The sequence below is a fragment of the Homo sapiens genome, chromosome 4, assembly GCF_000001405.40.
Source record: "Homo sapiens chromosome 4, GRCh38.p14 Primary Assembly".
Classification (NCBI taxonomy): domain Eukaryota; kingdom Metazoa; phylum Chordata; class Mammalia; order Primates; family Hominidae; genus Homo; species Homo sapiens.
In genome coordinates, this window is record NC_000004.12 from 86,990,010 (window position 1) to 87,016,465 (window position 26,456).

The 26,456-nt window shown below is 42.5% G+C and overlaps 1 protein-coding gene across 13 annotated transcripts in view, besides 7 other annotated features; it reads left to right on the plus strand.

The window, feature by feature from the left end:
• Positions 1 to 26,456, plus strand: part of AFF1 (ALF transcription elongation factor 1) — a 206,029-nt gene that overhangs the window by 54,999 nt on the left and 124,574 nt on the right. For 4 of the 13 annotated variants that reach the window (NM_001313959.2, NM_005935.4, XM_047415704.1 and 1 more), the window contains exon 1: positions 17,262 to 17,415. The exons of the other annotated variants lie outside the window; for them this stretch is intronic. In NM_001313959.2, coding sequence (NP_001300888.1) covers positions 17,399 to 17,415 — 17 coding nt within the window. In that variant the 5' untranslated portion in view covers positions 17,262 to 17,398. Of the gene's footprint in view, positions 1 to 17,261; positions 17,416 to 26,456 lie in introns of those variants that run through there. 13 annotated transcript variants of the gene reach the window in all.
• Positions 16,007 to 16,056: an enhancer, noted in NCBI's record as "active region_21698". NCBI's record gives its function as "activates an Ori minimal core promoter by ATAC-STARR-seq in GM12878 lymphoblastoid cells {active_cell/tissue: GM12878}" and the evidence as "EXISTENCE:reporter gene assay evidence [ECO:0000049][PMID:35858748]".
• Positions 16,427 to 16,576: an enhancer, noted in NCBI's record as "active region_21699". NCBI's record gives its function as "activates an Ori minimal core promoter by ATAC-STARR-seq in GM12878 lymphoblastoid cells {active_cell/tissue: GM12878}" and the evidence as "EXISTENCE:reporter gene assay evidence [ECO:0000049][PMID:35858748]".
• Positions 16,807 to 16,916: a silencer, noted in NCBI's record as "silent region_15552". NCBI's record gives its function as "represses an Ori minimal core promoter by ATAC-STARR-seq in GM12878 lymphoblastoid cells {active_cell/tissue: GM12878}" and the evidence as "EXISTENCE:reporter gene assay evidence [ECO:0000049][PMID:35858748]".
• Positions 17,047 to 17,126: an enhancer, noted in NCBI's record as "active region_21700". NCBI's record gives its function as "activates an Ori minimal core promoter by ATAC-STARR-seq in GM12878 lymphoblastoid cells {active_cell/tissue: GM12878}" and the evidence as "EXISTENCE:reporter gene assay evidence [ECO:0000049][PMID:35858748]".
• Positions 17,788 to 18,082: a silencer, noted in NCBI's record as "tiled region #119; K562 Repressive DNase unmatched - State 1:Tss". NCBI's record gives its function as "represses a minimal TATA promoter and a strong SV40 promoter by Sharpr-MPRA in K562 cells {active_cell/tissue: K562}" and the evidence as "EXISTENCE:reporter gene assay evidence [ECO:0000049][PMID:27701403]".
• Positions 19,230 to 19,279: a silencer, noted in NCBI's record as "silent region_15553". NCBI's record gives its function as "represses an Ori minimal core promoter by ATAC-STARR-seq in GM12878 lymphoblastoid cells {active_cell/tissue: GM12878}" and the evidence as "EXISTENCE:reporter gene assay evidence [ECO:0000049][PMID:35858748]".
• Positions 23,096 to 23,595: an enhancer, noted in NCBI's record as "H3K27ac hESC enhancer chr4:87934257-87934756 (GRCh37/hg19 assembly coordinates)". NCBI's record gives its function as "activates a minimal SCP1, AML or CMV promoter by ChIP-STARR-seq in primed H9 embryonic stem cells {active_cell/tissue: H9 hESC(primed)}" and the evidence as "EXISTENCE:reporter gene assay evidence [ECO:0000049][PMID:30033119]".

The window sequence follows — 26,456 nt, forward strand, 5'->3', positions numbered from 1 at the left end:
ACACCAGGGCCTGTCAGGGAATGGGAGACTAGGGGAGGGATAGCATTAGGAGAAATACCCAATGTAGATGACAGGTCGATGGGTGCAGCAAACAACCTTAGCACATGTATACCTATGTAACCTGCACGTTCTGCCCATGTATTCCAGAACTTAAATTATAATAATAATAATAATAATAATAGACTGAAACTGGCCAGGTGGGGTGGCTTATGCTTGTAATTCCAGCATTTTGGGAGGCTGAGGCAGGAGAATTGCTTGAAGCCAGGAGTTGGAGACCAGTCTGGGAAGTATAGTGAGACCTTGTCCCTATTTAAAAAAAAAAAAAAAAAAGACTGCCTAACTTGTGGGAGACAGAGCAAGATGCCTTCAGGAGGAATCTCTGGCCGTCTTCTTTGGTAATATCCAAAGAGCTTTGGTCAGCGTTGATATCAAAGCGGTGTGAAGAAAACATAAGGCCATAAGACTAATCTCTGGAGAGCTGCACACTGAAGGGGAACCTAAGTTCTTGAGTCCCTGGAGTACCCCAAGTGTGGTTTCAGAGAGGGTGCCATTCATGAGCAACACTGCTAGCCATTAGTGGCCAGCAAGAAGGGGAGTGAAAGGAGTATCTTGTAGATGGTGACTTGGGTAATATGAAATTGCTGTCATCAAGGTTTATCAAAAAACCAAAGGTTAAATATTACATGTAGGCAATGTGAGGCTGCCCCAAATGGTGTGTTTCCCAGGAACTTGATTCAACTCTGAGAATAAATGCATGAGTACTGAGAAAACTGTTTGGGTGGAAAATATTTATTTATTATTTTATTTTGTTCCCTCAGCTGTGATCTGCTTATTTGAGCTTGTTAGAAATATGTAACCTAGGCTGAGCGCGGTGGCTCACGCCTGTAATCCCAGCACTTTCGGAGGCCGAGGTGGGTGGATCACCTGAGGTCAGGAGTTCGAGACAAGCCTGGCCAACGTAGTGAAACCTTGTCTCTACTAAAAATGTAAAAATTAGCTGGGCGTGGTGGCGGGCGCCTGTAATCCCAGCTACTCAGGAGGCTGAGGCAGGAAAATTACTTGAACCCAGGAGGTGGAGGTTGCAGTGAGTCGAGATCGTGCCATTGCACTCCAGAGCAAGACTCTGTCTCAAAACAAAAAACAAAACAAAAAAAAACCGGCGCAGTGGCTCACGCCTGTAATCCCAACACTTTGGGAGGCAGAGGCAGGCGGATCACGAGATCAGGAAATGGAGACCATCCTGGGTAACATGGTGAAACCCTGTCTCTACTAAAAATACAAAAAAATTAGCCGGGCTTGGTGGCAGGCACCTGTAGTCCCAGCTACTCGGGAGGCTGAGGCAGGAGAATGGTGTGAACCTGGGAGGCGGACCTTGCAGTGAGCAGAGATCGCCCCACTGCACTCCAGCCTGGGCGACAGAGTGAGACTCCATCTCCAAAAAAAAAAAAAAAGAAATATGCAGCCAACATATATAGCCTTCTGCAACTATATATTTGTTTACAAAAGAGAAAAATACTGTTGAAATTGTTTTGACCCAGGTTCTTTTAAAATCGCTTTATAGTCACAAAATGATTGTCCTAGAGGATACCAGCCTCCATAACTGTGGCTACTACCCTTAAGACTCAGTAACATTAACTCTCAGCTCTGAGACTTTTTACTACGTTTTTTTTTAAAGGATGTGGGTGCAGTGGACATCCCTTAACTACATCTTTAGTGTGGCTTGCTAATCACCACAGAGACTTTAGTGTTGGTACCTGAAACATCTGGAAAATAAATCAACAAATTAATCCAACAGGACTGGGTTTTCATGTTTACTTCAAATTGCTTTTTTTTTTTTTTTTTTTTACATCCTTTTCCATTATTGAAATATGGTAGATGCTTTGGTCCTATTTATTGAATTTTCTTTCAACCTTCAGACACTTCTCGAGAAAACCAAACCAACCATGATAATACATTACTATTTTGCCTTTTGCAGAAGTCGTCTAGCTGAGCTTGAAAGTAACATCAAATTTGGGAGTGCTGTGCTGAAACATATCTAGGTATCAGGAAAAGTGATTTTCCAAAGGCTTGTAAAAAGTCATAGGATTCTATGACTGCTTCCTCAAGAGTGTAACAATAGCTTATCAAGAGAGGCTGTGCAGCATAGTGGTGAAGATTATGGACTCTCGAGTGCAGGGTCATATCTCAGTCCCACCACTTACCAGTTTGCATGACTGAGAAAATTGCCCATTTTCTTGGGGCCTCATTTTTCTTATCTCTGAAGCAAGGATGGTGACATTGTACTTGGCTTAAAGGCTTGGAATTAATTTAATATGGGTGAAGCACTTAGAGCCAGGAATATTGTGCATGCTCAGTAAATTCATATTACTTACAAAATTAATTCCTAACACCTTCCTTGCCATTTTGCTGGACTGTGGTATCTAAGATTGTTACTAAGTGTCTCAACCACGTGTACTGAGGGAACATTATCATATTTGGAAGAAAGTCATCTTTATGTGAATTCCCAAGTGACAGTGTAGGGACCCATTAAGTTGTTAAGCGTTTTAAGGCATGAAGCTGGCCAGCTTTGAGGTGTCAGTGACTTGTAAGGGCACTAACAAGTCTGTCAGTTGGGAGCATAGTTCCCAGCTGCAAGTTCTCACCTTGACAAAGTTATAATTGTATTAGCAAGGGAAGACCCCTCCTTTCTGAGAACGTAGGAAATACTGTAAACCTGAAAAACTCTGTTGCTATAACTTCTGTAATTTTCTTAAATGAATTCTTAAACATGATGTATAAAATGACAAGATTTAATCAGCTCAATAACATATAAATCCTTGATCGTGAAAATATGTATAATTGGTTATTAATCAGCTTTTTGTTCTCTAGATTAATTGTAATTTCAAGACATGTAGGATTTAGAAAATGGAGTAGCCCTTTCTTTGAGTGAGTAAGTTCTTAGAAGACAAAGATTTTTTAAAAAACATGCTTTCCTATAGGGTTGCATGAGCTTTAGACGTAATAAATGCTCAATAAATGTTGATTTGATTTAGTTTTAATCTTCCTGTTTTACATGTGACCTAGGTAGGAAACAGAGTCCACAGCCAAGAAGCCTCAAATAAAACTCCCCTAACTTTTTGGAAGGCAGCCTCAGTCCTCAGATGGAAGGTAAAATCCATACCTCCAATTAGGTTTTGCTTGGATTCAAACATTTGCTAGGAATAAAAACAGCACATTTACGACAGGCTAGGTATCACAGAAAGTGCCAGTAGTTGATGTAACCTCTTTTATGTGTGAGGAGACCAGATCTTAGTATAACTAATAAGCTGCAATTTACTGATCATTGTGGCTTGCCTATATATGTAGTTTTTTTCTCCCACAAATGAGGAAAACATCCCTGCAGAGATTGAGGAATATCTCCTATCTTCCAGTTCTTAAATCCTTCCCCTTTCCTGATATGTGTTCAGGAAAATTTAGGGATAGTTTCAAGGGCAGGAAAAGCCCATAACTCATAGATGACTATGCCACAATACTGTTCAGAGACTGTTTCAAACTGAATAATGGTAGTAATTGTGGACACTTGTCTTTGAGAGTTTATGGAACTCCTAAATGTCATAGATTTTATAGTACTGTGCTTCTCAGAGTTCAATGAGTATATGAATCACCTTTGAATTTTGTTAAAATGCAGATTCTGGGCTGGGCATGGTGGCTCATGCCTGTAATCCCAGCATTTTGGGAGGCTGAGGTGGGTGGATTATGAGGTCAGGAGTTCGAGACCAGCCTGGCCAACATAGTGAAACCCCATCTCTACTAAAAATACAAAAAATTAGCTGGGCATGGTAATGTGTGCCTGTAATTCCAGCTACTCGGGAGGCTAAGGCAGGAGAATCATGTGAACCCAGGAGGTGGAGGTTTGCAGTGAGCTGAGATCGTGCCATTTCACTCCAGCCTGGGAGACAGAGCGAGACTCCGTCTTAAAAAATAATAATACATTAAAAATATAAAAATGCAGATTCTGATTCAGGAAATCTGGGATGGGACCTAAAACTGCATTTCTTATAGGCCTCTCATGTTAGAGCTGCTGCTCTGCAGCCTTACTTTAAGTAACAAGGCACTAAAACACAGGTTCTAACTCAACTGCACACTAAATTGCCAGAAGGCACTAAAAAAGAGTCCCCCTACTAAATAAACTATATTTAAACAAACATTTGTTTTCTTACTTGAATTAATCAAAACACACGAAGTTGCTAATTCGACTTCCTGATCACTGTGGGCTCACTGGTGCTGGCACACTGAGTTGGCATAAGCTCCAGGAAGGCCCAGAGCGGAGTCCTTCACACACTTCTCATGGTCAAATATGTGGTTTCCTTTGGATTTTTTGAAATGTTGGAAATTGTTCATTGATCCTCACTTGCTCCATTTGTGGATCTGGATCAGAGTCCACTGATTGTGTAATGAGAGAACCCCAGATTATGCAATCTGGGGGCAGATCTCACCTGCAAACACATGTGTAAAAGGAAATCTTAGCAGCTGCAACTGTAGCAGAGTTCTTCACAGTTCTCTGCTTCAGAAATTATCTTTTGGCTGCATTGGTTTTGGCTGCCTTTCTGCTCAAACAAGCAAACACTCCCCTTGATCCATCCAGCATCATGACTTGATATGCATGAGAACTAGGAGCTTGTGTTAGGTAGAGTGAAGGATAAGCTATCAGAGAAGGCTTCTGAGAAGAGCTGCATTTGTTAGAGTTTAGATAATGGTAAGGGGTCTTCAGCTGGAGCAGAGGGAAAGGGGCATTCTAATGAAGAGAAAATACTGTCTGCAAAGGTTGGTGGCATTAGAGAACTGTGGGGCTGGAGGGTGTTCATGGGAAAGCGGGGAGGGGACAGAGAGAGGTTTGGTGGATGATAAGGCTACTGAAGTTGGTCCAAATTGGGAAGGGTGTTAGATATCCTGTAAGAAACTGTCTCCAGGCCAGGCATGGTGGCTCACACTTTGTAATCTCAGCACTTCGGGAGGCCAAGGCAGGTGGATCACCTGAGTCCAGGAGTTTGAGATCAGCCTAGGCAACATGGTAAAACCTAGTCTTTACAAAAAATTAGCCAGGTGTGGTGTTGTGTGCCTGTAGCCCCAGCTACTCAGGAGGCTGAGGTAGGAGGATTGCTTGAGCCCTGGAGACCGAGGCTGCAGTCAACTGAAATTGCAGCACTGCACTTCAGCCTGGGCAACAGAATGAGACCTTTTCTCAAAAAACAAACAGGCAGTTAGAAAAATCTACCCCCTTCCCCCTCCCCCTCTCCCTCCCCCTCTCCCTCCCTCCCCCTCTCCCCACGGTCTCCCTCTCCCTCTCTTTCCACGGTCTCCCTCTGATGCCGAGCCGAAGCTGGACGGTACTGCTGCCATCTCGGCTCACTGCAACCTCCCTGCCTGATTCTCCTGCCTCAGCCTGCCGAGTGCCTGCGATTGCAGGCGCGCGCCGCCACGCCTGACTGGTTTTCGTATTTTTTTGGTGGAGACGGGGTTTCGCTGTGTTGGCCGGGCTGGTCTCCAGCTCCTAACCTCGAGTGATCCGCCAGCCTCGGCCTCCCGAGGTGCCGGGATTGCAGACGGAGTCTCCTTCACTCAGTGCTCAATGGTGCCCAGGCTGGAGTGCAGTGGTGTGATCTCGGCTCGCTACAACCTCCACCTCCCAGCAGCCTGCCTTGGCCTCCCAAAGTGCCGAGATTGCAGCCTCTGCCCGGCCGCCACCCCGTCTGGGAAGTGAGGAGCGTCTCTGCCAGGCCGCCCATCGTCTGGGATGTGAGGAGCCCTTCTGCCTGGCTGCCCAGTCTGGAAAGTGAGGAGCGTCTCTGCCTGGCCGCCATCCCATCTGGGAAGTGAGGAGCGTCTCTGCCCGGCCGCCCATCGTCTGAGATGTGGGGAGCACCTCTGCCCTGCCGCCCCGTCCGGGATGTGAGGAGCGTCTCTGCCCGGCCGCCCCGTCTGAGAAGTGAGGAGCCCCTCCGCCCGGCAGCCGCCCCGTCTGAGAAGTGAGGAGCCCCTCCGCCCAGCAGCCACCCCGTCTGGGAAGTGAGGAGCGTCTCTGCCCGGCAGCCACCTCGTCTGGGAGGGAGGTGGGGGGGTCAGGCCCCCGCCCGGCCAGCCGCCCTGTCCGGGAGGTGAGGGGCACCTCTGCCCGGCCGCCCCTACTGGGAAGTGAGGAGCCCCTCTGCCTGGCCACCACCCCGTCTGGGAGGTGTACCCAACAGCTCATTGAGAACGGGCCATGATGACAATGGCGGTTTTGTGGAATAGAAAGGGGGGAAAGGTGGGGAAAAGATTGAGAAATCGGATGGTTGCTGTGTCTGTGTAGAAAGAGGTAGACATGGGAGACTTTTCATTTTGTTCTGTACTAAGAAAAATTCTTCTGCCTTGGGATCCTGTTGATCTGTGACCTTACCCCCAACCCTGTGCTCTCTGAAACATGTGCTGTATCCACTCAGGGTTGAATGGATTAAGGGCGGTGCAAGATGTGCTTTGTTAAACAGATGCTTGAAGGCAGCATGCTCGTTAAGAGTCATCACCACTCCCTAATCTCAAGTACCCAGGGACACAAACACTGCGGAAGGCCGCAGGGTCCTCTGCCTAGGAAAACCAGAGACCTTTGTTCACTTGTTTATCTGCTGACCTTCCCTCCACTATTGTCCTGTGACCCTGCCAAATCCCCCTCTGTGAGAAACACCCAAGAATGATCAATTAAAACAAACAAACAAACAAAAAAACCCACAAATATTTATGTTGAAACTTAAACCCGATGTGGCAGTATTAAAAGGTGGAGCCTTTAAGAGGTGATTGGATCGTGAAGGATCTGCCCTCATGAATGAATGCATTCAAGATTAACGAGTTTATGGGTTACCATGGGAGGAGAACTGGTGGCTTTTAATTTAATTTAATTTTATTTTTTTGAGAGGGAGTCTTGCTCTGTTGCCCAGGCTGGAGTGCAGTGGCACGATCTCAGCTCACTGCAACCTCTGCCTCCCGGGTTCAAGTGATTCTCCTGCCTCAGCCTCTCAAGTAGCTGGGATTACAGGTGCCCACCACCATGTCTGGCTAATTTTTGTATTTTTGGTAGAGACGGGGTTTCACCATGTTGGCCAGGCTTGTCTCGAACTCCTGAGGTCAGGTGATCCGCCCGCCTTGGCCCCCCAAAGTGCTGGGATTACAGGCATGAGCCACCACGCTTGGCCTGAACTGGTGGCTTTATAAGAGGAAGAGACCTGCAGTAGCATGTTTGCATGCTCAGCTCCCTCACCATGTCACTTTGGGACTCTAGAGTCCCCACCAGCAAGAAGGCTTTCACCAGGTGTGGCCCCTTAACTGTGGACTTCCCAGCCTCCATAACTGTAAGGAATAAATTCCTTTTTAAAATAAATTACCCAGTTTCAGGTATTCTGCTATAGGCAGCAGGAAATGGATTAAGGCACATGCATTCTAAATATTTAAAAATGCATACTTGGGCTGGGCGCAGTGGCTCATGCCTGTAATCCCAGCACTTTGGGAGGCCGAGGCAGGTGGATCACAAGGTCAGGAGATCGAGACCATCCTGGCCAACACGGTGAAACCCCATCTCTACTAAAAATACAAAAAATTAGCCGAGTGTGGTGACGGGCGCCTGTAGTCCCAGCTACTTGGGAGGCTGAGGCAGGAAAATGGTGTGAACCTTGGGGGCAGAGCTTGCAGTGAGCCAAGATTGTGCCACTGCGCTTCAGCCTGGGCAACAGATCGAGACTCCATCTCAAAAAAAAAAAAATGCATACTTAAGAGAAAAGGATAGAAAAAAACAGGCCTAAGAAGCTGAGTGAGGCTGGGCATGGTGGCTCACGCCTGTAATCCCAGCACTTTGGGAGGCCGAGGCTGAGGTCAAGGACTCCAGACCAGCCTGGCCAACATGGAGAAACCTCGTCTCTACTAAAAATACAAAAAATTTGCCAGGTGTGGTGGCACATGCCTGTAATCACAGCTACTTGGGAGGCTAAGGCAGGAGAATCGCTTGAACCCAGCAGGCGGAGGTTGCAGTCAGCTGAGATTGTGCCATTGCACTCTGGCCTAGGCAATAAGAGCGAAACTCCGTCTCAAAAAAAAAAAAAAAAAAAAAAAAAAAAACAAGAAAACTGCGTGGACAGCTTTAGTATCAAGAGGGCAGAAGTAGAACCAATGGAACAGGGCTCTATTTTAGCTTCATGAGAGATAGAAGTTTCTAATCCTCATCATTGGCCTGCTGTGGAAGGGGCTGCCTTGTAATGACAACAGATGTCCCTGGAGACATGCAAACAAGCTAGTCTCGCTAGAAGAAAGAGCATTCTTGCATGGAGAAGTGGATTAGATGACCCTTACCTCCTTCCTGGAACTAAGACTTGATTATAGTTGTTTTGTTTTTAGAATAATTGTGATTCAGTTTTGTGACTACAAAAACAGGTGTGTGTTCATTTTATAACGTTTAGACAATTTTTAAATACCCAGAAGAAAATAACGTCATCTGACTGTTCCATTCAGAGATACCTACTGCTAGCATTTTGCTACAGAGGCCCCATCAATCTTTTGAATACACATTTCATTCAATTTTGATGAAGTGGGATACTAACAAACATACTGTATTGTACCTGTTTTTTTTTCCTTTTAAAAATTATTGTATTTTGTACCTGCTTTTTTATTAATCAAAAAACTCTGATACTATGAATGTCTTCCTTGTCATTAAGTATTTTTTGTAAAACAAGAGGGTGAAAGCTTATTCAGTGGAGGGGGTGGTAGTGGTGATGGGAGGAATTAGAGATCAGTGTTATAAATTCAGAAATAAAGAGAAGTATCTAAAGTGAGCTCTTCCCACTCCCATCCCTCTACTTTCAGTATCTCAAGAAATCTCTGGGATTTTGGTAGCAATATGTGTGGAGAACAAGCCAGGAAAAGGATCTCTAGTTTGGATGATTGGTGATTGGCTCATAAATTAGGGGCCAGGAGGAATGGAGTGGGTTGGAATTGGGGCCATTCAGATGAATTCTGGCCTGGTCTGGCCTTGGGACCATTTCTCAGGCTGTCTCTTTCTCTTCCCTGTTTCCCTTTCCTTTTGAAAGGCATCACTACTCCTTCGCACTCACTGGTGTTTGCTATTCAACAAATTATTAATGTGGCTGATCTTATTTTAAGGGGTTTATTGCTGATCTTCACAGTTAAAAAACACACGGTAAAATATGGAATGTTTTAGTTTTGTGTTAGCCAAGTCCCTCCTGATCTGCTTATAGGAAGCTCTCTTTGAATTCTGCCTTCTGCTTTTATTCCCAAGGAAGGAACTAACTAAACACACTTTTCCCCTAGTCTTTTTTAATTCCTTTTTTTGTGAAGGAGATACTATCTTCTTCCTGTATGGAGAAACCACCCCTTACAGACCCTAGAGGCAGCTAAGTCTCATTGATAGATATCTCTCAGCATCTGTTGTAACTGCATCCAGATGGGGAGGATCTTATTGTGTAGACACAATGAGAAAATGTTCTATTTTGGACAACCTCCCAAGTGCCTTTTCATGCCCAGGAAAGTGTTTTGGGGCATCTAGAACAAATAGTCTTGGAGTTACAGAGAGAAGTTTAGGTTGGAGTTACACATTTAGAGAGTTACTGATGATATTGTACAAGACAGCATTTAGATTGAGAAGAGACAAGTAAGGTTTGTTAGAACTCTATCCTGGATCCTGGATGTGTGAGCAGAAAGAATTGTAAAATAAGATTGAGTTGCTTGAAGTCTGCAGAGAGCCTTTCATGGGAGGTGGTCACTGGCATCATAAAGGAAGCCGACTTCTCTTGGTGTAAGAAGCTTGGCAGTGATGGCAGAAGGAGACTGGGTGGTAGCGTTTACAGAGAAGAAACCAATGTATTGGGAGAAATGCCTTGTGCTGGGACTAGGGTAGAGAAAATAGATGATGAGCCTGGAGCATCCTGTAGTAACAGAAAGGAAAGGGTGCTCGAAACACAAAAGGATGGGGCATGTCAAAGGGGCAAGGAGCCAACCTGAAGGGGCTCCCAGTGGCCAAGGCTGGAACAATTTGATAACAAAATCAATCATGTAGTGGCTTATGATACAAAGTTCAAAGGAAATACCTGTGAGAGCATGCTCATATAAATAAATAATTGAATGAGTAAATAAATGGAGAAGAGGCAAATCTTTCTTAGAGAAGAATTTCAAATATGTATAGCTATTACCACCCCTTTTCCTGTGTCTGCTTCATTCTCTCCCTCCTTTGAAGGGAAAACAGCCAAAACCAGATAGAGGAACATTCTACGGGATAGCCAGCCTAAACTTCTCAAAACTGTCACGAAAAACAAGGAAAAACTGAGAAATAATGCAGTTTTAGGATACCTCGGGTTGCATCTTGGACCAGAAAGATGTCATTGATGGAAAAAGTGGTAAAATCAAAACAAAGTCTAAAGTTTATTTCATAGTAATAGACCAATGTTGATTTCTCAGTTTTGGCAAGTGGTCAATGGTAGTGTAAGATATAAACAGGAAACTGGCTGGGTGGGGGTATAATCCTTTGCAACTTTTTTGTAAATCTAAAGTTATTCTAAAATAAAACATTTATTAAAAAATAAACTCTGTGTGTGTGTGTGTGTGTGTGTGTGTGTGTGTGTGGCAGAGGAAGTGGGGGAACTTGAGCTTGTTTGTAGACTGATAATAAGTAATTGGTATAATTGTAGGCTAATATCCCTGATTGATCAGGGTATTAGGGTAAGGAAGGGCATGTTTTATTAATGCACAAATAGGAGGAGATATGGAAAACTGTAGACCAGATCAGGTAAAGAAAAAAACATTGAGTGAAGAGGTAAAGTTGAGCAGTAATTTGTATACATTTTTGCTTGTATACCTCCTACAAGAATGTTGAAAAACTGTAAATCTTTATTCTTGAACCAAACAGTTGAATCAGATTTATTTTATTAGAGAAAGTCTAACTTCTGATGGCCCTATACATCTCATTTCATAATTCTAATTTGTATATAGTCAGGCATAGGCACCTTGCCGCAGGCTTGTTACCTGGATGTGTTTAATGAGGATCTATCTATTAATATTGATTTAACCCCGGGGACTCTCCTCCTACAGAGAACTGTTCCTTTGGGGGCCTCAGAGGTATTACACCTGGAGTAATGCACCATTTTAATATTGATTTGGGGTGGATGAGAGGACTGCTTTCCTTTTTCTACTTTTTTTTTTTTTTTTTTTTTTTTTTTGGTGACGGCGTCTCGCTCTGTCACCAGGCTGGAGTGCAGTGGTGCAATCTCGGCTCACTGCAACCTCCCCCTCCCAGGTTCAAGCGATTCTCCTACCTCAGCCTCCCGAGTAGCTGGGACTACAGGCGCTTGCCTCCACGCCTGGCTAATTTTTTGTATTTTTAGTAGAGACTGGGTTTCACCGTGTTAGCCAGGATGGTCTGGATCTCCTGACCTCGTGATCCACCCGCCTCGGCCTCCCAAGGTGTCGGGATTACAGGCGTGAGCCACCGCGCCCGGCTCGTGCTTTTCTTTTTCAAGTGGAGAAAACCAAGTGGGAAGTGAGAGCCTGAATCCTGGTTGTAAGAAAGAGGACATTTGTATATTAAGGATCTAGAAATAGATTTGCCCTTAGGTCGTGAGAATCTCCAGGTAACCCCAGTTTAAAGATAAAGGCAGAGAACCTGGAAAGTGTGAAATAAGGATAGGAGGGCTGCTTTGTGTTGAAGTCACAGCTGAAGGGAGAGCCGGTTAATTTCCAGTGGTGCTCATTAGCAGTCCTCCTTGCTGTCTGCCTTCTGGGTAATGCCTGTTTTTATTCTCCTCCATTATCTCCTCCCTCTTCCTGTGTCTGCTTCACTTGAGATTTTCAATGGCAACCTTGAGCACCCTTCTCTTGGCAAAGTGATTTTAGCAGTGTCCTGGTTAAACATCATTCCATTGAAATGAAGTAGCAGTTCTTAGGGGATTTGACCTATGTGACGTTTAGACCAAAAATGCTACAAAGGGTAGAATTGTTGAATGACCATTGTGGTACAAATGCATACATTGAATGAGGTATGTTAGAATTCGGAATAAGGCAACCTGTTTAAATTTTTTCTTTTCTTTTCCTTTTTTTTTTTTTTTCCCAGAGACGGTCTTGCTCTGTTGCCCAAGCTGGAGTGAAGTGGCTCACTGTAATCTCAAATTCCTGGGCCCAGGTGATCCCCCTGCCTTAGCCTCCTGAGTAGCTGGGACTACAAGTGTGAGCCACCATGCCCAGCTAATTACAAAAATTTTTTTAGTGGAGGTGAGATCTTCCTATGTTGCCCAGGTTGGTCTTCAACTCCTGGCCTCAAGTGATCCTCCCACCTCAGTCTCTCAAAGTGCTGGGATTACAGGTGTGAGCCACCAGGCCTGGTCAACTCTTAAGTTGTTAAAAGGGCAATGAAGTTTTTTTTTTTTTTTTTTTTTTTTGAGATGGTGTCTCACTGTGTTGCCCAGGCTGGAGTGCAGTGGTGCGATCTCGGCTCACTGCAGTCTCTGCCTCCCAGGTTCAAGTAATTCTTCTGCTTCTGCCTCCTGAATAGCTGGGACTACAGGCACATGCCAGCATGCCTGAGACAGGGTTTCACCATGTTGGCCAGGCTGGTCTCAAACTCCTGACCTCAAGTGATCCACTTACTTCAGCCTCCCAAAGTGCTGGGATTACAGGCATGAGCCACCGTGCCCAGCTGGGCAATAAAGATTAACGGGCGATTTTACTCCTTATTTGTAGGGTAAATTGGGTCTGTTAGCAGGAGCCGGGTCCAGGGATTCTTAACCTGAAATCTGCGGAGCCTCACGTGCTTCCTAAGTGGGTTTCAGGGGAATCAAATTGCATGGAAGTTTAACAAAGGTTGTACTTCAGTGTCCTCAAATTTCATCAGAAAGCCAAAGAATTCTTTGCCCCTCAAAGGTTAAGAATGCCTTTTTGTTCAGTTTCACTGCTGATGAAGATGGTGGGTTGGATACAATGGTGTTTTCAAAACACTTGGAAATAATAATGCCCATGTTGGTATTGCAGTACTTTTTTAGCCACATACAGTATCCAAGTCACAAATCATTTCTCCTGTACTTAGTAATTTTAGATGTATTATAATCTAGTATCATCCCACTTGTTTCAAATTACTCCCATGAATTTACATTACAAACCATTTTGAGAGCCCAGGGAATCTCAGGTGTAATTCTAATCTGGTATTGATTCCATATATCTTTGGGGGTAAATATTTGCTGTATTAAAATTTTTTTTCCATTTATTCATTTATTTGAGACTAGGCCTTGCCCTGTCACCTAGGCTGGAGTTCAGTGGTGTTCTCATAGCTCACTGCAGCCATGAAGTCCTGGGCTCACGCAATCCTCTTGCCTCAGCCTCCCAAGTAGCTAGAACTATATATCCAGCTAATTTTTAAATTGTTTTTTAATAGAGACAAGGACTTGCTATGTTGCCCAGGCTGGTGTCAAATTCCTGCCCTCAAGCGATCTTTTTACCTTGGCCTCCCAAAGCACTGGGATTACAGGCATGAGCCACTATGCCTGGTCTGTTTCCTCATATTTAAGTGGTGTCAGATCAATTAACATAGTTCAAAAAGTATAATTTTAATATTATCAATGTTACATTTCTAGCCTGTGCTAAATGGACATATTATGAGTAAGTGCTATTATGAAGTATTTTTTCAGCAATTATGTCTGATACTAATTTGTTTATAGCATAAATGATCACAGTCAATATAGATAAAACAGCAAGAGAAAAATGGGGAAAAACAGCCACCAAAAAATTATTGAGAGTAGACTTTTGCCTGGTTTCCTTGAATATTTACTATTGCAAAAGAAAATATGCGTACAAAGGTATTTTGTTGTCCGATATAGATTTCTTACAAATGAAAATAAATGTTGGCCAATTATGGTCCTTAGAATGATTCAAGGATTATAAATCAAGACTGAACCAAAAACTTCTTAAAATTATTTTCTAAATAAGCATGATCTAGGTAAATGGCTTTCAAATGAAAGCAGACCACAAGCATCACCTGGAGAATTTATTGAAATGCGTATTCCTGGGACCTCACCCCACAAGGATTCTATTTCAGTAGTTCTGCAACTAGGATCTGGAGTCTGTTTTTAACATATGCCCCAGGTGGTTTGACCACATTTTGCTAAAACTGAATCTAGGTGCTAAGAGGTTACATGGAATAGCTGTAATATATAACACCTTTAATTAAAAGAAGGCTCGATGAGTGTGGAGAGGTGAGGGAGACATGGAAGTATTTAGCAAATGATATAGAATAAGTTTGCACCTCAATTACTGTGAAACCCAAAGAGCTTTTGTATATGTACATTTTAGATATTATTTACTACATTAAAAATTAAAATTGAGGTATTTAAAATATTTATTTTTAAAACCCATTACATATTGACCTAAATAAAACTTTTATAAAACCAATTTTCCAAAATTAAAAAAATTATTGAGAAAGAATGGCATTATTTTACATTCATGCAAATCTCTTTACTGTCTGGCTTAATAGAAGACAGCTAGATTCTCATACAGGTTATCCAAAATGCTTGGGACCAGAATTGTTTTGGATTTCAGATTTTTTCTGATTTTGGAATATTTGCATTATATATTCTTGTTCCAGTGAGCATTTCCTTTGAGCGTCATGTCAGTACTCAAAAAGTTTTGGATTTTGGAGCATTTTGGATTTCAGATTTTCAGATTTGGGATGCCCAACCCAAACAGATTGAATCTGATTCTCTATTCAATTTGTTGCAATGTTGTTTTGGTTGAAGTCTATAAAGAAAATCCAACTTCACACAGAAAGAGGATGAGTATTTTTAATACCTTCTTTGATATTATACCAAAACTCTGTAAGTGTTAGTTTCTTAAAGGTTAATTGCATTGTGGAATCTGAAATGAGCTTTTTAAAAAAACTAAACCTTTGATACATTAAAATCAGTTGGTCTGTTTTGCACTTTTTTTCAGTGGATCTTTCATCCATGCATGATTTTGGTTTTTGTTTGAGAGAGAGTCTTACTCTGTCACCCAGGCTGGGGTGCAGTGGCACAATCTCAGCTCACTGCAACTTCCACCTCCCAAGTATCTGGGATCAGAGATGCGTGCCACTATGCTCAGCTAATTTTTTGTGTTTTTGGTAGAAATGGGGTCTCACCATGTTGTCCAGGCTCTGGTATCAAACTCCTGAGCTTAAGCGATCTGCCTGCCTTAGCCTCCCAAAGTGCTGGGATTACAGGCGTGAGCCACTGCACCTGGCCTACCCATGTATGATTCTGTTATACCATTGGTCATTTCAAAACTAAGGCAGATCTTCTCATATAACTTTCATCACTGTCACTCTGATCTCATCAGGAAAGTCTTTAAGTATTGGCGAAGCTGGCAAGATTATGTGGCAGATGCAAAAAGTCTTCCAAAATGCTTGAAAGCTCAAATTTCATCATTGGCAATAAGTACTGTCAATTGTTTTCCTCAAAGAAACAGGCTCAACTTTGTTCATTTTTAATGTCTGCCAGATACCCAAGTCAGAATAACTACAGTTTGTGAATTGTTCTTTCAAGTAAAAATGGTAGTCCATGAAAAAAAAGCTAGCTCAGCTTGCAACTCAATTACACAAGTGCTTTTCTTCTAGACAGCCATTGTACTTAAGTGTGCAGTGGACTGCTTCCTGGGTACTTCCCATTTTATCACAAAGAACATCAAAAAGACCCATGCTCAAGGGTCAAGATTTAATGAACGTAATAATTCTGACTGCTTGCTTCATTAACGACAATCATAAAGGAAACGCTTAAAAAAAAATAACGTGTGGTAGTGAAGAATGCAGTGACTACTAGTTTCATTTGCTGTCACTGCTTTGGTTAGTGCGAAGGCGCCAGCAGTTTCCCCATAATTGCTTTTGCACCATCAGTGCAAATGTCAGCACAGTGAAAAGACAATGTCTTTGTGTTATTCTAAAAATAGTTCTGACCTCTGAGAGGGTCTTGGGGACTCCCAGGAATCTAGTAAACACACTTTGAGAACCCTTGATAGAGGTGCCTTGGGCCTCCCTCCCAGCATTGTCGTTTTAGTGCCAGGCATTAACATGTTTGTATTTCACGACGATTTAGTAATACAATCTGGACTATCTCTTTATGAGACGGGCAATGTTGTCATGATTCTAGGTAGAAGAACGGAGAGTCCACAGTGCAGGCAGTTATTCAGTATTCATCTAAGAGTCTTCAGCTCCTCCGGTGTGCTGGTCCCTATGAGATGCTGAAGCACAACCTCCCTCCATCCTTGCTCATCCAAGTATTTTCCTGCTTTTGAGGCACGGCTTAAACGCTTTCCATGGTCCTCTGAGTAGGAAGTGATTTCGTTTGTGCTTCGTATAGGACTTACTATATTGCATGCTCAAGTTTTTTGTTTGCTTCTTGTCAATCCCTTCATTGCTTAAGACCAAAATGAGGTACTATTTTTCCTGTAATCTACGTGTAGTCCAAAAAAGGCGGGCTGTTTTGTAAATATTTGTCTCTATGTAAGGAAATCAAAACTGAAAGCGGAGTAACACCAAGTATGCCCGTTTCTTGAGCTCAAGCACTGGAAGGATCAAAAGTAGCGAACGTGGTTTACTGCCGCGGTCTTGTTCCTGCTCACTGCCGCCTCTGGGGGCCCCATATTCAACAAATATTCAAATTGGAGCTGGAGTTCTGAGCGGCTGGGTACTGTGTATTCCAGCGGTGGGTGTCTGTACGTAGTTAGAACCTGGCAAGAGAGCACTCTCGAGGAGCCCGCAGGCGGGGCTCGGCCGGGGACCAGCAGGGCTTGTCGGCGCCCAGGCTCTGCCCCCTACCCGACCCTGCCTGCCGCTTGCCGCCTGCCTTTGGCTAGGGCCGCCGAGCGCCCTGCCCATTTAAGTAGGCGGGCCGTACCACCGCAACTTTCTTGACAGGGGGTATCCCGGCGGACTCGGACAACTTCAAGTGAGCCCAGAGGCAATTTCTTTTCCTTTCTAACTGTGGCCCGCGTTGTGCTGTTGCTGGGCAGGCGTTGGGCGCCGGCGGTCTTCGAGCGTGGGGGCCCGCTGGCTTTCCCTTCTCAGAAACTGCGCCGGGGGCGCTCGCTTGCCCCGGATTCGGACGCGGCGCTCCCCGGGCTCGTCTGAAGTGCAGATCGCCGCAGAGGCCCCAGTGCCCGGATGTCCATCAGGATTAGCGCGAGCCAATACGGGCCGAGCCCGGGGCTGCGCCGAGGACGCCCGGGGCTCGAGAGCAGGTAGTCCCGTAACATCGGGGCGCCGCGCCGGGACGCGTCCCCGCCCGGCTCCGCCAAATGGTGAGCGCGGCGCTGGCAGCAGGGCCCGCGGGGTGAAGGCGCTCATGGACGGAAGACCCCTGGCTCTATAAGCTGAATTATGGCAGCCCAGTCAAGGTAAGCCGTGCACCGGAGAAACTTTTCAAACGCGTTCGTGGCGAGGGGAGCTGAAGGTTGCGGGGGAGGGCAGGGTGCGGGGAAGGAGACGGACAGGAAGCAGCTTTGTCATTGCCTTCTCATCATTCCCGAGGCTGTGGCTTGACTAAATGTCAGATAAAAAGCAGTTTGGAGAACATGCTGGACAATTTCTGCACAGCGGAGAGAGGGATGGAGTTAAAGTGAAGATTAAAGTTAGATAGCCCCCTTCTTCCCCCAGAACTGTTATTTTCCGGGACATTAAGTTGATTTCACTTGTCCGCCCTTGCCCAAATTTCCATTTAGATTCTTTGTGCGCCTACCCCTCGGTTTTCTGGATTTCTTGCTGTTGTCTCGAGGGGAAGTTTAGAAATACGATTAATGTAAAACATAGTTCACCTTGGAGAGGGTGGGTGAGAATTTGCCTGGTGAGTGAAAATTTTACTGCTAGAATGTACGATTCCACATAAAACGGCCCCGCTTACGTGAATCTGCTGAGTAGGCAAAGACCGGGAACGCGCCGGGGTGGTGAAGGGGAGAGAGGATAATGAACTGCAGTTGCTGTCAGAGGAGCGCTATTGTAAGAACCTGAAGCCCCGTCTTTCCATGGTTTGTTACTGTTTTTGTAATGAGCGTTGAAGAAGAGTGATGACAAGGCATTAGTGATTATTATGAGATCCAAACTGTTCTGTGCGATTTTATTTTAGTTTTGACAGCAGTTGGTGCTAAGGGAGACTTAGGAGTTATATATACATTCTCTTTCAACTGTGTTTTGCTAGAAAGCAGTTTGGTCTCACATATTTAAAGTAGTAGGGTTCTTCAAGCTGATATTTGATGTAGAACAGTGATTTTGGGAGGTCTCAGAAGACTTAACACGTCTGAAGACTCAGATCATGGAGAGAAATGGATGTTAAATGTTCATGTTTGGGCTGGATGAGACAATGTTTTTTTCCTACGAAATAGAACTTTCTAGGAAGGAAAGAGCTTCTCTGTATAAAGTACCTCCTATGTGCTACCTGCTTTTTATATTTCTTCTTCTCAACACAGTGGTTTATCCTCTGCTTCCATTTTATTGAGTTTTAAGAAAGTGGTTCTTAATCTGGGGCCAAGTAGTAGAACTTGGATGAGAAACACAAGTTGTGTCTCTATTTTTGTTAACCTCTAGCTGAAATTTAGTGTTTTTTTTTTTTTTAAGTAGGACTAGAGATAAAACTATAGTACCAGTCCTTGTGATGTTATCACAATAGAAACTATATGTCTTTTCATAATCTTAATACAATTGTTGCAGATGTCTTCAAACACCTTTTGTGCTCTCCACTCAGGAAATTAAGGAACTGCTTTATCTTGCTTAATTCAGTAGTAAAGAAAAACACTACTGTACCATTGATTTCTTTTAAATATTTTAATAGGTGCTTGTCTATATAATCTGGTACCTTTGTATTCTTATGTATTTTATTTAATGTATTTAAAAACATTTTTCTGATAGTGCTGTTATTGTCAGACTGCTACAGAGGTCCATGGCAGAAAATTAAGATTAAGATACCTTGATCTAAGAAGTTAGTAAATGCTGTGTGACAGATCTCAGTAATATAGCGCAGGGATTTGTACCCAGGTGTGAGAGATTCAATGCCAGCGCTCTTAAACTAATGATAAAAATAAAATGAGACACAAGCTAAATTGGACACTGCTGTGTGCCAGGCACAGCATTAAGCAGCTTTAATTGGATTAGCTCTGACTCTTCTCAGGCACCTAAATGGGTAAGTACTTTTATTATCCACATTTGTTAGTTGAGGAAACTGAGGTCCAGCCTGGCTGTTTCTTGCCTGAGGTCACAAAGGTGGAGCAACGCCTGACTCCAGATCTGCTTTGCACACTTCCTCCCTTATGCTTCCTCTTTAATGCTGAGGTGAGATGTTAAAGGGAGCTGCCAAGCCTCAGTATAACAGTACAAAGAATGATTCCTGCTAAAATTGGTTGTTTGTAATATGTAATAATCCTGAGTTATCAGTGTGGTGGTTCAACTTGCCAGCAATTAAAATAGGAGAATTGTGCTTATTTCTGATCCTCTACCCCACCTTCCGACATGCCCTGGAACTAGGAACAAAGCCACAAGACTGTTATGTCTGTTGTTTTCTTAGTCTGTGTGTTGGGAGTATATCTCACATTTTGTAAATGTGCATTTTCTTTGGTTACACCTGGAATGTGGTCCAAGCTCATTCAGATAATTGTGCTCTGTGGGAGAGAAGGTAATCTTTGAGATCCAAAGAGAATATATGGAGAAGATTCAAGATATTTTGGGATTTCAGGGAAACTCTAAAGCTGGGCCACGTTGCCCTGAGTAATGCTAAGAGAAACCAAAACATCACCTGTGATGTAAAATCTCAGGTAGTGAAATCTTGACCATGTACTACTACACATTAGTGTTTGTTTGCTCTTGAGACAATTAATTTAGACCGACAGACTCATTGTACTTACAGATTTGTAGCTCAGTGTTTAAGCACACCAGTTTCTTTGTTCATTGTTTAGTTTGATTCCTGATTTGTTATTGATGGGTGATATATGACTAATTTTTTATGCAAATGGATTAGGCGGTGTATTCCCATCCCTGTAGTTCACTCCTTAAGACAAGATACTGTCTCCCACATTTTAGTCTCCCCTACATAAGCTAGAAGTACTTTGAATTGAGAGATTACCTAAGTATTTCTTGGCTTGTGGACTTTTATAAATTAAGGCTGTGTTAAAACCTAAGAGTAGGAAATTTGTTTTGTGGCTGATTTCTTCTCTTAAAGCTGGAAGACATTTCTTGACTAAAATGCAATTAAATGCTTTTAAAATTTAGATTTTTGGGGGTCATATTTTGAAAACAATAAGTATTTGGTTTATTGTATTCCTAGAGTTGAGAAAGGTGGTCACTGAGAAATGTCTTGTCAAAGCGGATTGTATGCTGTGTCTGGGCTCTCAGATAAGTGTGTGCTTTCTTTGGAACCTATAAACATAACAGACACATTGAATATATACTTCCTTGTGGAAATTGCAACAAACTTGCTTTCTTTGATGTGAAATAGTTACAGAACATGGCTTTAGTTACTGGACTCTGATGGAAAGTGCATCCAGACTATTTTATAGAAGTATAAAAACTAGCAACTAGTAAACCTAACAGTTTATAGACATATTTTTTTCCTGCAAGAATTAACAGTGCTTTATACTGAGGAGTGGTGTTGATGGATACAGTAAAAAGGAGGACTTTGCCTGATTCCCACCTCCGCTAACCCTCTCATTGAAGCAGATCCCTGAATTCTAGAAAGGAAAATATACATACCTTCAAATACTATCAGGGATTAGCCAGTTTAAAAAAATCACCTGGGCCGGGTGTGGTGGCTCACGCCTGTAATCCCAGCACTTTTGGGAGGCCGAGGCAGGCGGATCACGAGGTTAGGAGATCCAGACCACTGTGAAACCCCATCTCTACTAAAAATACAAAAAAAAATCAGCCGGGTGCGGTGGCGGGCGCCTGTAGTCCCAGCTACGCGGGAGGCGGAGGCAGGAGAATGGCGTGAACCTGGGAGGTGGAGCTTGCAGTGAGCTGAGATCGCACCACTGCACTCCAGCCTGGGTGACAGAGTGAGACTCCGTCTCAAAAAAAAAAAAAAAAAAAGAAAAAAAAAATCACCTGATGCCACCTGAGAACCCCTGGCCCTTCTCCACCCTGGGGCAGGGGTGTATGCATGGGAGTAGGGGAGTTGAACTTGCTTCTTTGGGAGAGTTGAATCTGGTGGCTGAGCACGGAGCTTCTCAAAAGAAAGGATTTATAGACAAACTGCAGTAGGAAAGTATGTTCAGTCAACTCTCCCACAGTTTTTAACTTTTGAATTTGTCTAAAATTAATGAAGCTTTGAAAAATCAATAAAGAAGCAAAGTCAGATTGTGCCCAAGATTTATATGAAGCTGGTTTTTGGTGGATCTCTTTGACTCTAGGGAGGGAAAGTTTTCCATTGCAAAAAGCAATGCTCTTAAACTGGTATAGATCCAGTTTTGCCCTGCCCTATGCCCCGTCTCTGATTTTTGAGCTAGTGATTACCTTGGAAGAAAATTCATGAATGCAAAGCAGCTTTGATTAAAAATGAGCCATTATCAAAGAGAATACTGTGGTTTTGGAAAGTACAGTTCAAAGAAGAGATTTTGGGATGGAAATAATTTATGTAGTATTTTGATCCATTGAATATTCTCACTTTTTCCTTCTTGTGACACCATTGTAAACAGTGTCCTTGACAGAAGAGAAACACAAACAGGTCTCTTAAGTGATTTCTTTCTAGTTCATCCTGAGAGCCCAGTTGAGCTTCCTGACTCACAGTCTAGAGCTGCTTCCATGATAAAGACTGAAGGAGCGGTGAGTCATTTTTTAAAGTCAGCTGATTTATGGGGATGTTGTTGTTTTGGCAAAACTAACTCAAGTGATCTCTCGAGATTTTGCTGGATTTTATACCATACCGTGAAAAGATATTCCATAGCTGGATTTACACTCTTGAAAATGGGGTTTTTGTGCGTGCTGCATCTAAAAATTTTAAATTTCAATTACATTCAGGAATAAAATATTATGGATGAGAGAGAAATCTACTTTTTCATCTTGGTTCTGTCATTTATTTCTTGTGAGCCTCCAAATCTATTTTTTACATAATACCTGTAAGAGAGAGGAGTTATAAAGCTGGTTTGTTAACTGTTGCTTTGAGGTATATATAAACTTAGTTTTCTGTTAGCAAACTTCTCCATTTCATTTCTTGTTTTTTTTTTTTTTTGTATAACTATACATATTTTAGTAGAGATGGGGTTTTCAACATCTTGGCCAGGCTGGTCTCGAACTCCTGACATCAGGTTTCTTTTCCAAGATAGGCAAATAAACTTATTCTAATTCTGTATGTGAGATATAGTGGAAATACAATATGCACCTCTAGGACAAAGTTTCTTGGAGACATGCTTCTTGGCTCAGAAATAGAAACATATAGTGAGGCTAAGTATAATCTCTTTGTTGTGGTTGGTTCAGTTACGTTTTATTGATATAGAGTGAGTACATAACTTTTACGGGTTAAATGATTACCAATCGTTTTTACTTAAATGTAAAAACTGGGGGAGCTGAAGTAGTATTTTCTGTCTCCTTCAGATGGTCCTCAATTCATTTTATTATGAATATAAAGTGTTCATTTGCTCATTTGCTCAAAATAACACAGCAGGTAGAATGCACAGTGTCTTGCTCAAGTACAAATGTATCAGATGAACTTTAGATTTACACTTCAGGAGAAAATATGTATAACTTTTGGTGCTAATGCCCCAGGGAACTAAAAGTAAAGATTAACTTTAAAACCATGCAAATTGCTGACTTTCTGTGTCTTGGCAGTGATCAGTGTTGAGAATCCCTCCCCTGTGCAAACTTTTTCCTTTTCTTATCTGTTCACAGTGAGTTAAAGCTTAACCTGATGGCCACAGAGCCAACAGACCTGGCATCTTGAAAGTCTTGTTCTCTGCTGAATGTCTGTTTTCTTGTGTTAGTTTATTGGCTTTGTTTTTAATTTAACCAGATTGAACTGCTATCAAGTTCTTTTTTTTTTTTTTTTTTTTTTTTTTGGGAGACGGAGTTTCGCTCTTGTTGCCCAGGCTGGAGTGCAATGGTGCGATCTCGGCTCACAGCAACCTCTGCCTCCTGGGTTCAAGCCATTCTGCCTCAGCCTCCGGAGTAGCTGGGAATACAGGCATGCTCCACCAAGCCCGGCTAATTTTGTATTTTTAGTAGAGATGGGGTTTCTCCATGTTGGTCAGGATGGTCTCGAACTCCAGACCTCAGGTGATCCTCCCGCCTCGGCCTCCCAAAGTGCTGGGATTACAGGCGTGAGCCACCCTGTCCGGCTGAACTGCTATCAAGTTCTTAAGGCTATTGCTGGGAGCAGTAATTTGGTGACAGATTTAATATATTAAGAGAAAATCCCAGGGGTAAACATCTTATCTAAAGGAACTCAAGCAGACAAAGGGTAAAATATTTTTATTGACACCTAGATTGTCTTTATTTCGGTATGTTTTCAAAGGGCACTCACTGTTTGACTGCATTCTAAAAAGTACCAAGAATTGTTTTTCCTCCGTGGTGGCTCATATGGGTGAGGGCTTGGAGACCTGCAGGCCACATGATCCTTTATTTTGGTGGGCTGGGGAAGAGTTAAGGCTGTGATGAAGATCTTACCTTTTTTTTTTTTTTTTTTAAGTATTGCTTACTGCTGGATTGGCAACTAAACAAATAAAAAGTAAAAGGCTATTTTAGGGGCAATATGGTCATATGAGGTTCAGGGTTCTCAAACTTGATTAGACACAAAAATCACCGTGGGTGCTTGTTAGTATGCAGATTCTGCTCCCCCTCCCCCAGAGATTCTGAATGGACAGGTTCTGGGTGGAGCTCTGCTGTCTGTAAGGCCAGGGGCGCAGGTACCATGCTTTGTGAGATGGTGCATGTGTGAGTGAGAGAGATCATATAAACCATGTTGTATGATGCTATTAAATTTTGATATCATATATGCTTATAAATACACATTTTTCCCCTCCTATTGAAACAGACTGGAGGTTGGTAGAGAAGGTGGATATCTACGTCCATAAAATTTATCCTTATATTACAAACTGTTGGTTGAAATATCCAAATGCGTCTGTGTTAAAAAAAAAATTAAAAGATACCAAGAAGCAATTCCCAGTGTTTGATCATACAGCACCTTCCCAAGAATTGTTTCTTCTCAAGGAGCAGGGTATTTAATTTACTTTTTTCCATGCGTTGTGGGCTCCCTCCCCAGTTAGAGTTAACTGCTAAGTATCTCTCTCTCTACCACACACAGCCCAGTTTACCAGGTGGCAGTTGTTTTTGTTCCCAGGGAAAAGTTAAAATGGTGTGAATTGGTCAGTTTTGTCCAAACTTTGTGAAACCGAAATGAAAGTTTTGTTTTTTAAGAAAAGCTTTGCCTAGGGGTACTGCTGAACAAATAATGTTCAACAAGACATTTTAAATGGAACTCCTACTGGGAAGTAAATGTTAAAATTATAGCAGATGTCACTTCCTGTAACAAAATTCAGGAAACAGTCTTTGGTATGTGGGTGTTGTAACTTTTCAATTTTTGGAACTTTCCTTCAGGAAACTGTCCTGTCAGAAGCAAAGCAGTCAATAAAATATGAAGCACAACTTAAACTATGTTATACAGTGTAATTAAATTTTGATTTGGTGCATATGTTTTTGTGGTCAAGACAGACCCAAGATTATCACGTGACTTTCATCCTGGATAATGTAAGTCTGGATAACTTGTTAAATTGCTTCTCCCCCACTTCTCCCATTCTGGTTACTTTAAAAATACAGGTGTATCTGATTTACTCTGGACTTGAATTTATGGAAAGTGGTATAAAATTAATTAGTTCTCATTGTTTTGTACAAAACTATGAAACCTGTTTCCTCCCTAGCTTTGCAGAAATTTTGTCTCAATTGACAAACTGTCTACCTTAGACATTTCTAAGATGGCCTATTTAGTAAGTTGGTAGCTTTGAGCTTTGATAAAAGTTTGAGTCCATGATATTATGGTTTAAGAAAATTTTTCCTTAAAGGAAAACAGAACGTGTTATTGAGTTAATATTGCTGGGTTTTAGTTGTTGTTTATTTGCTGAAAGGATAGTCATTGGTATAAAGTAAGCTAAAGCTCTGTCCTTTTATATTTTTTCAGGTAATTTTGACCTAGCAATTACAGCTATAGGAATGTTTTCCTGTTACTCATTTACAGTCTGTGTCTCCCTCTCCCCTCCAGCCTCCTTTTAGAGTTAAGACGGTGCTAACTCTCCATTTAAAAAAGTGTGTAAAAAATAAACTTTGTACCACAGGGGAAAAATTAGGCAGTAACATTTACTGGCATTAGAATAGCAAAAGGATAAAATGAAACCTAGTGTATTACCTTAATACATAATTGAGGTTTTGCAACCTAAAAATATTGGAAAGAATTATTAATGTTGTTCAGATTGTCTGCTTATCTTGTGACTTGGTTTTAGTAAAATTCAAAGTGCCACTGGAACTTAGTTTTTGTTTTTAAATGGGAACTATGCCCAGAAGATGAAAAGTCCTAGGTTGGCAGTTAGATTGAATTTGATAATTCTGTCACTGCTGATGGTGTGAGTTTTTTATTTGTTCTTACCCTTAGGGCAGGGAGGGGCCTCCTCTTAAAAACACCTTCATTTCTTTCTTATTTTAGCAGTCATGTTTCTTTAAGGGTAAAGTAAAAATCATTAGGTTTACTTAATTCTGAGTTTAAATTTGTAGGCTTTATAAAAATTCTTGACAGTTTATGATAAGCCTAGCATAAAACTTCGTTTTCTCTCTGAGGTCACTCGTATTCTGTGTTGACATCCTTAAAGTATTGGTATTATCCATGATCTTAGAGTGTTTTAAAGAATGAAGAAGTCGGGCGTGGTCGCTCATGCCTGTAATCCCAGCACTCTGGGAGGCCCAGGCAGGCGGATCACCTGAGGTCAGGAGTTTGAGAGCAGCCTGGTCAACATGGTGAAACCTCGTCTCTACTAAAAATACAAACATTAGCTGGGCGTAGTGGCAGGTGCCTGTAATCCCAGCTACTCGGGAGGCTGAGGCAGGAGAATTGCTTGAACTCGGGAGGTGGAGGTTGCAGTTAGCCAAGATCATGCCGTTGCACTCCAGCCTGGGCGATCTTTTGGTAGCTTGGTGTAAATGACCTTTTGTGGGGAAAGAGGGAAGAGGGGAATAGTTAAATTGAATCGAGGTACGTTCCTTGTCACCCAGATCTTTTATATCTTTTGTTATATCTCATTTTATGGGTATTTCTTCCCAGCCCAAGTTTTTGTAAAAGTGATTTTATTCGAGGTCAGGAGATCAAGACCATCCTGACTAACACAGTGAAACCCCGTCTCTACTGAAAATACAAAAAAATTAGCCAGACGTGGTGGCGGGCGCCTGTAGTCCCAGCTACTCGGGAGACTGAGGCAGGAGAATG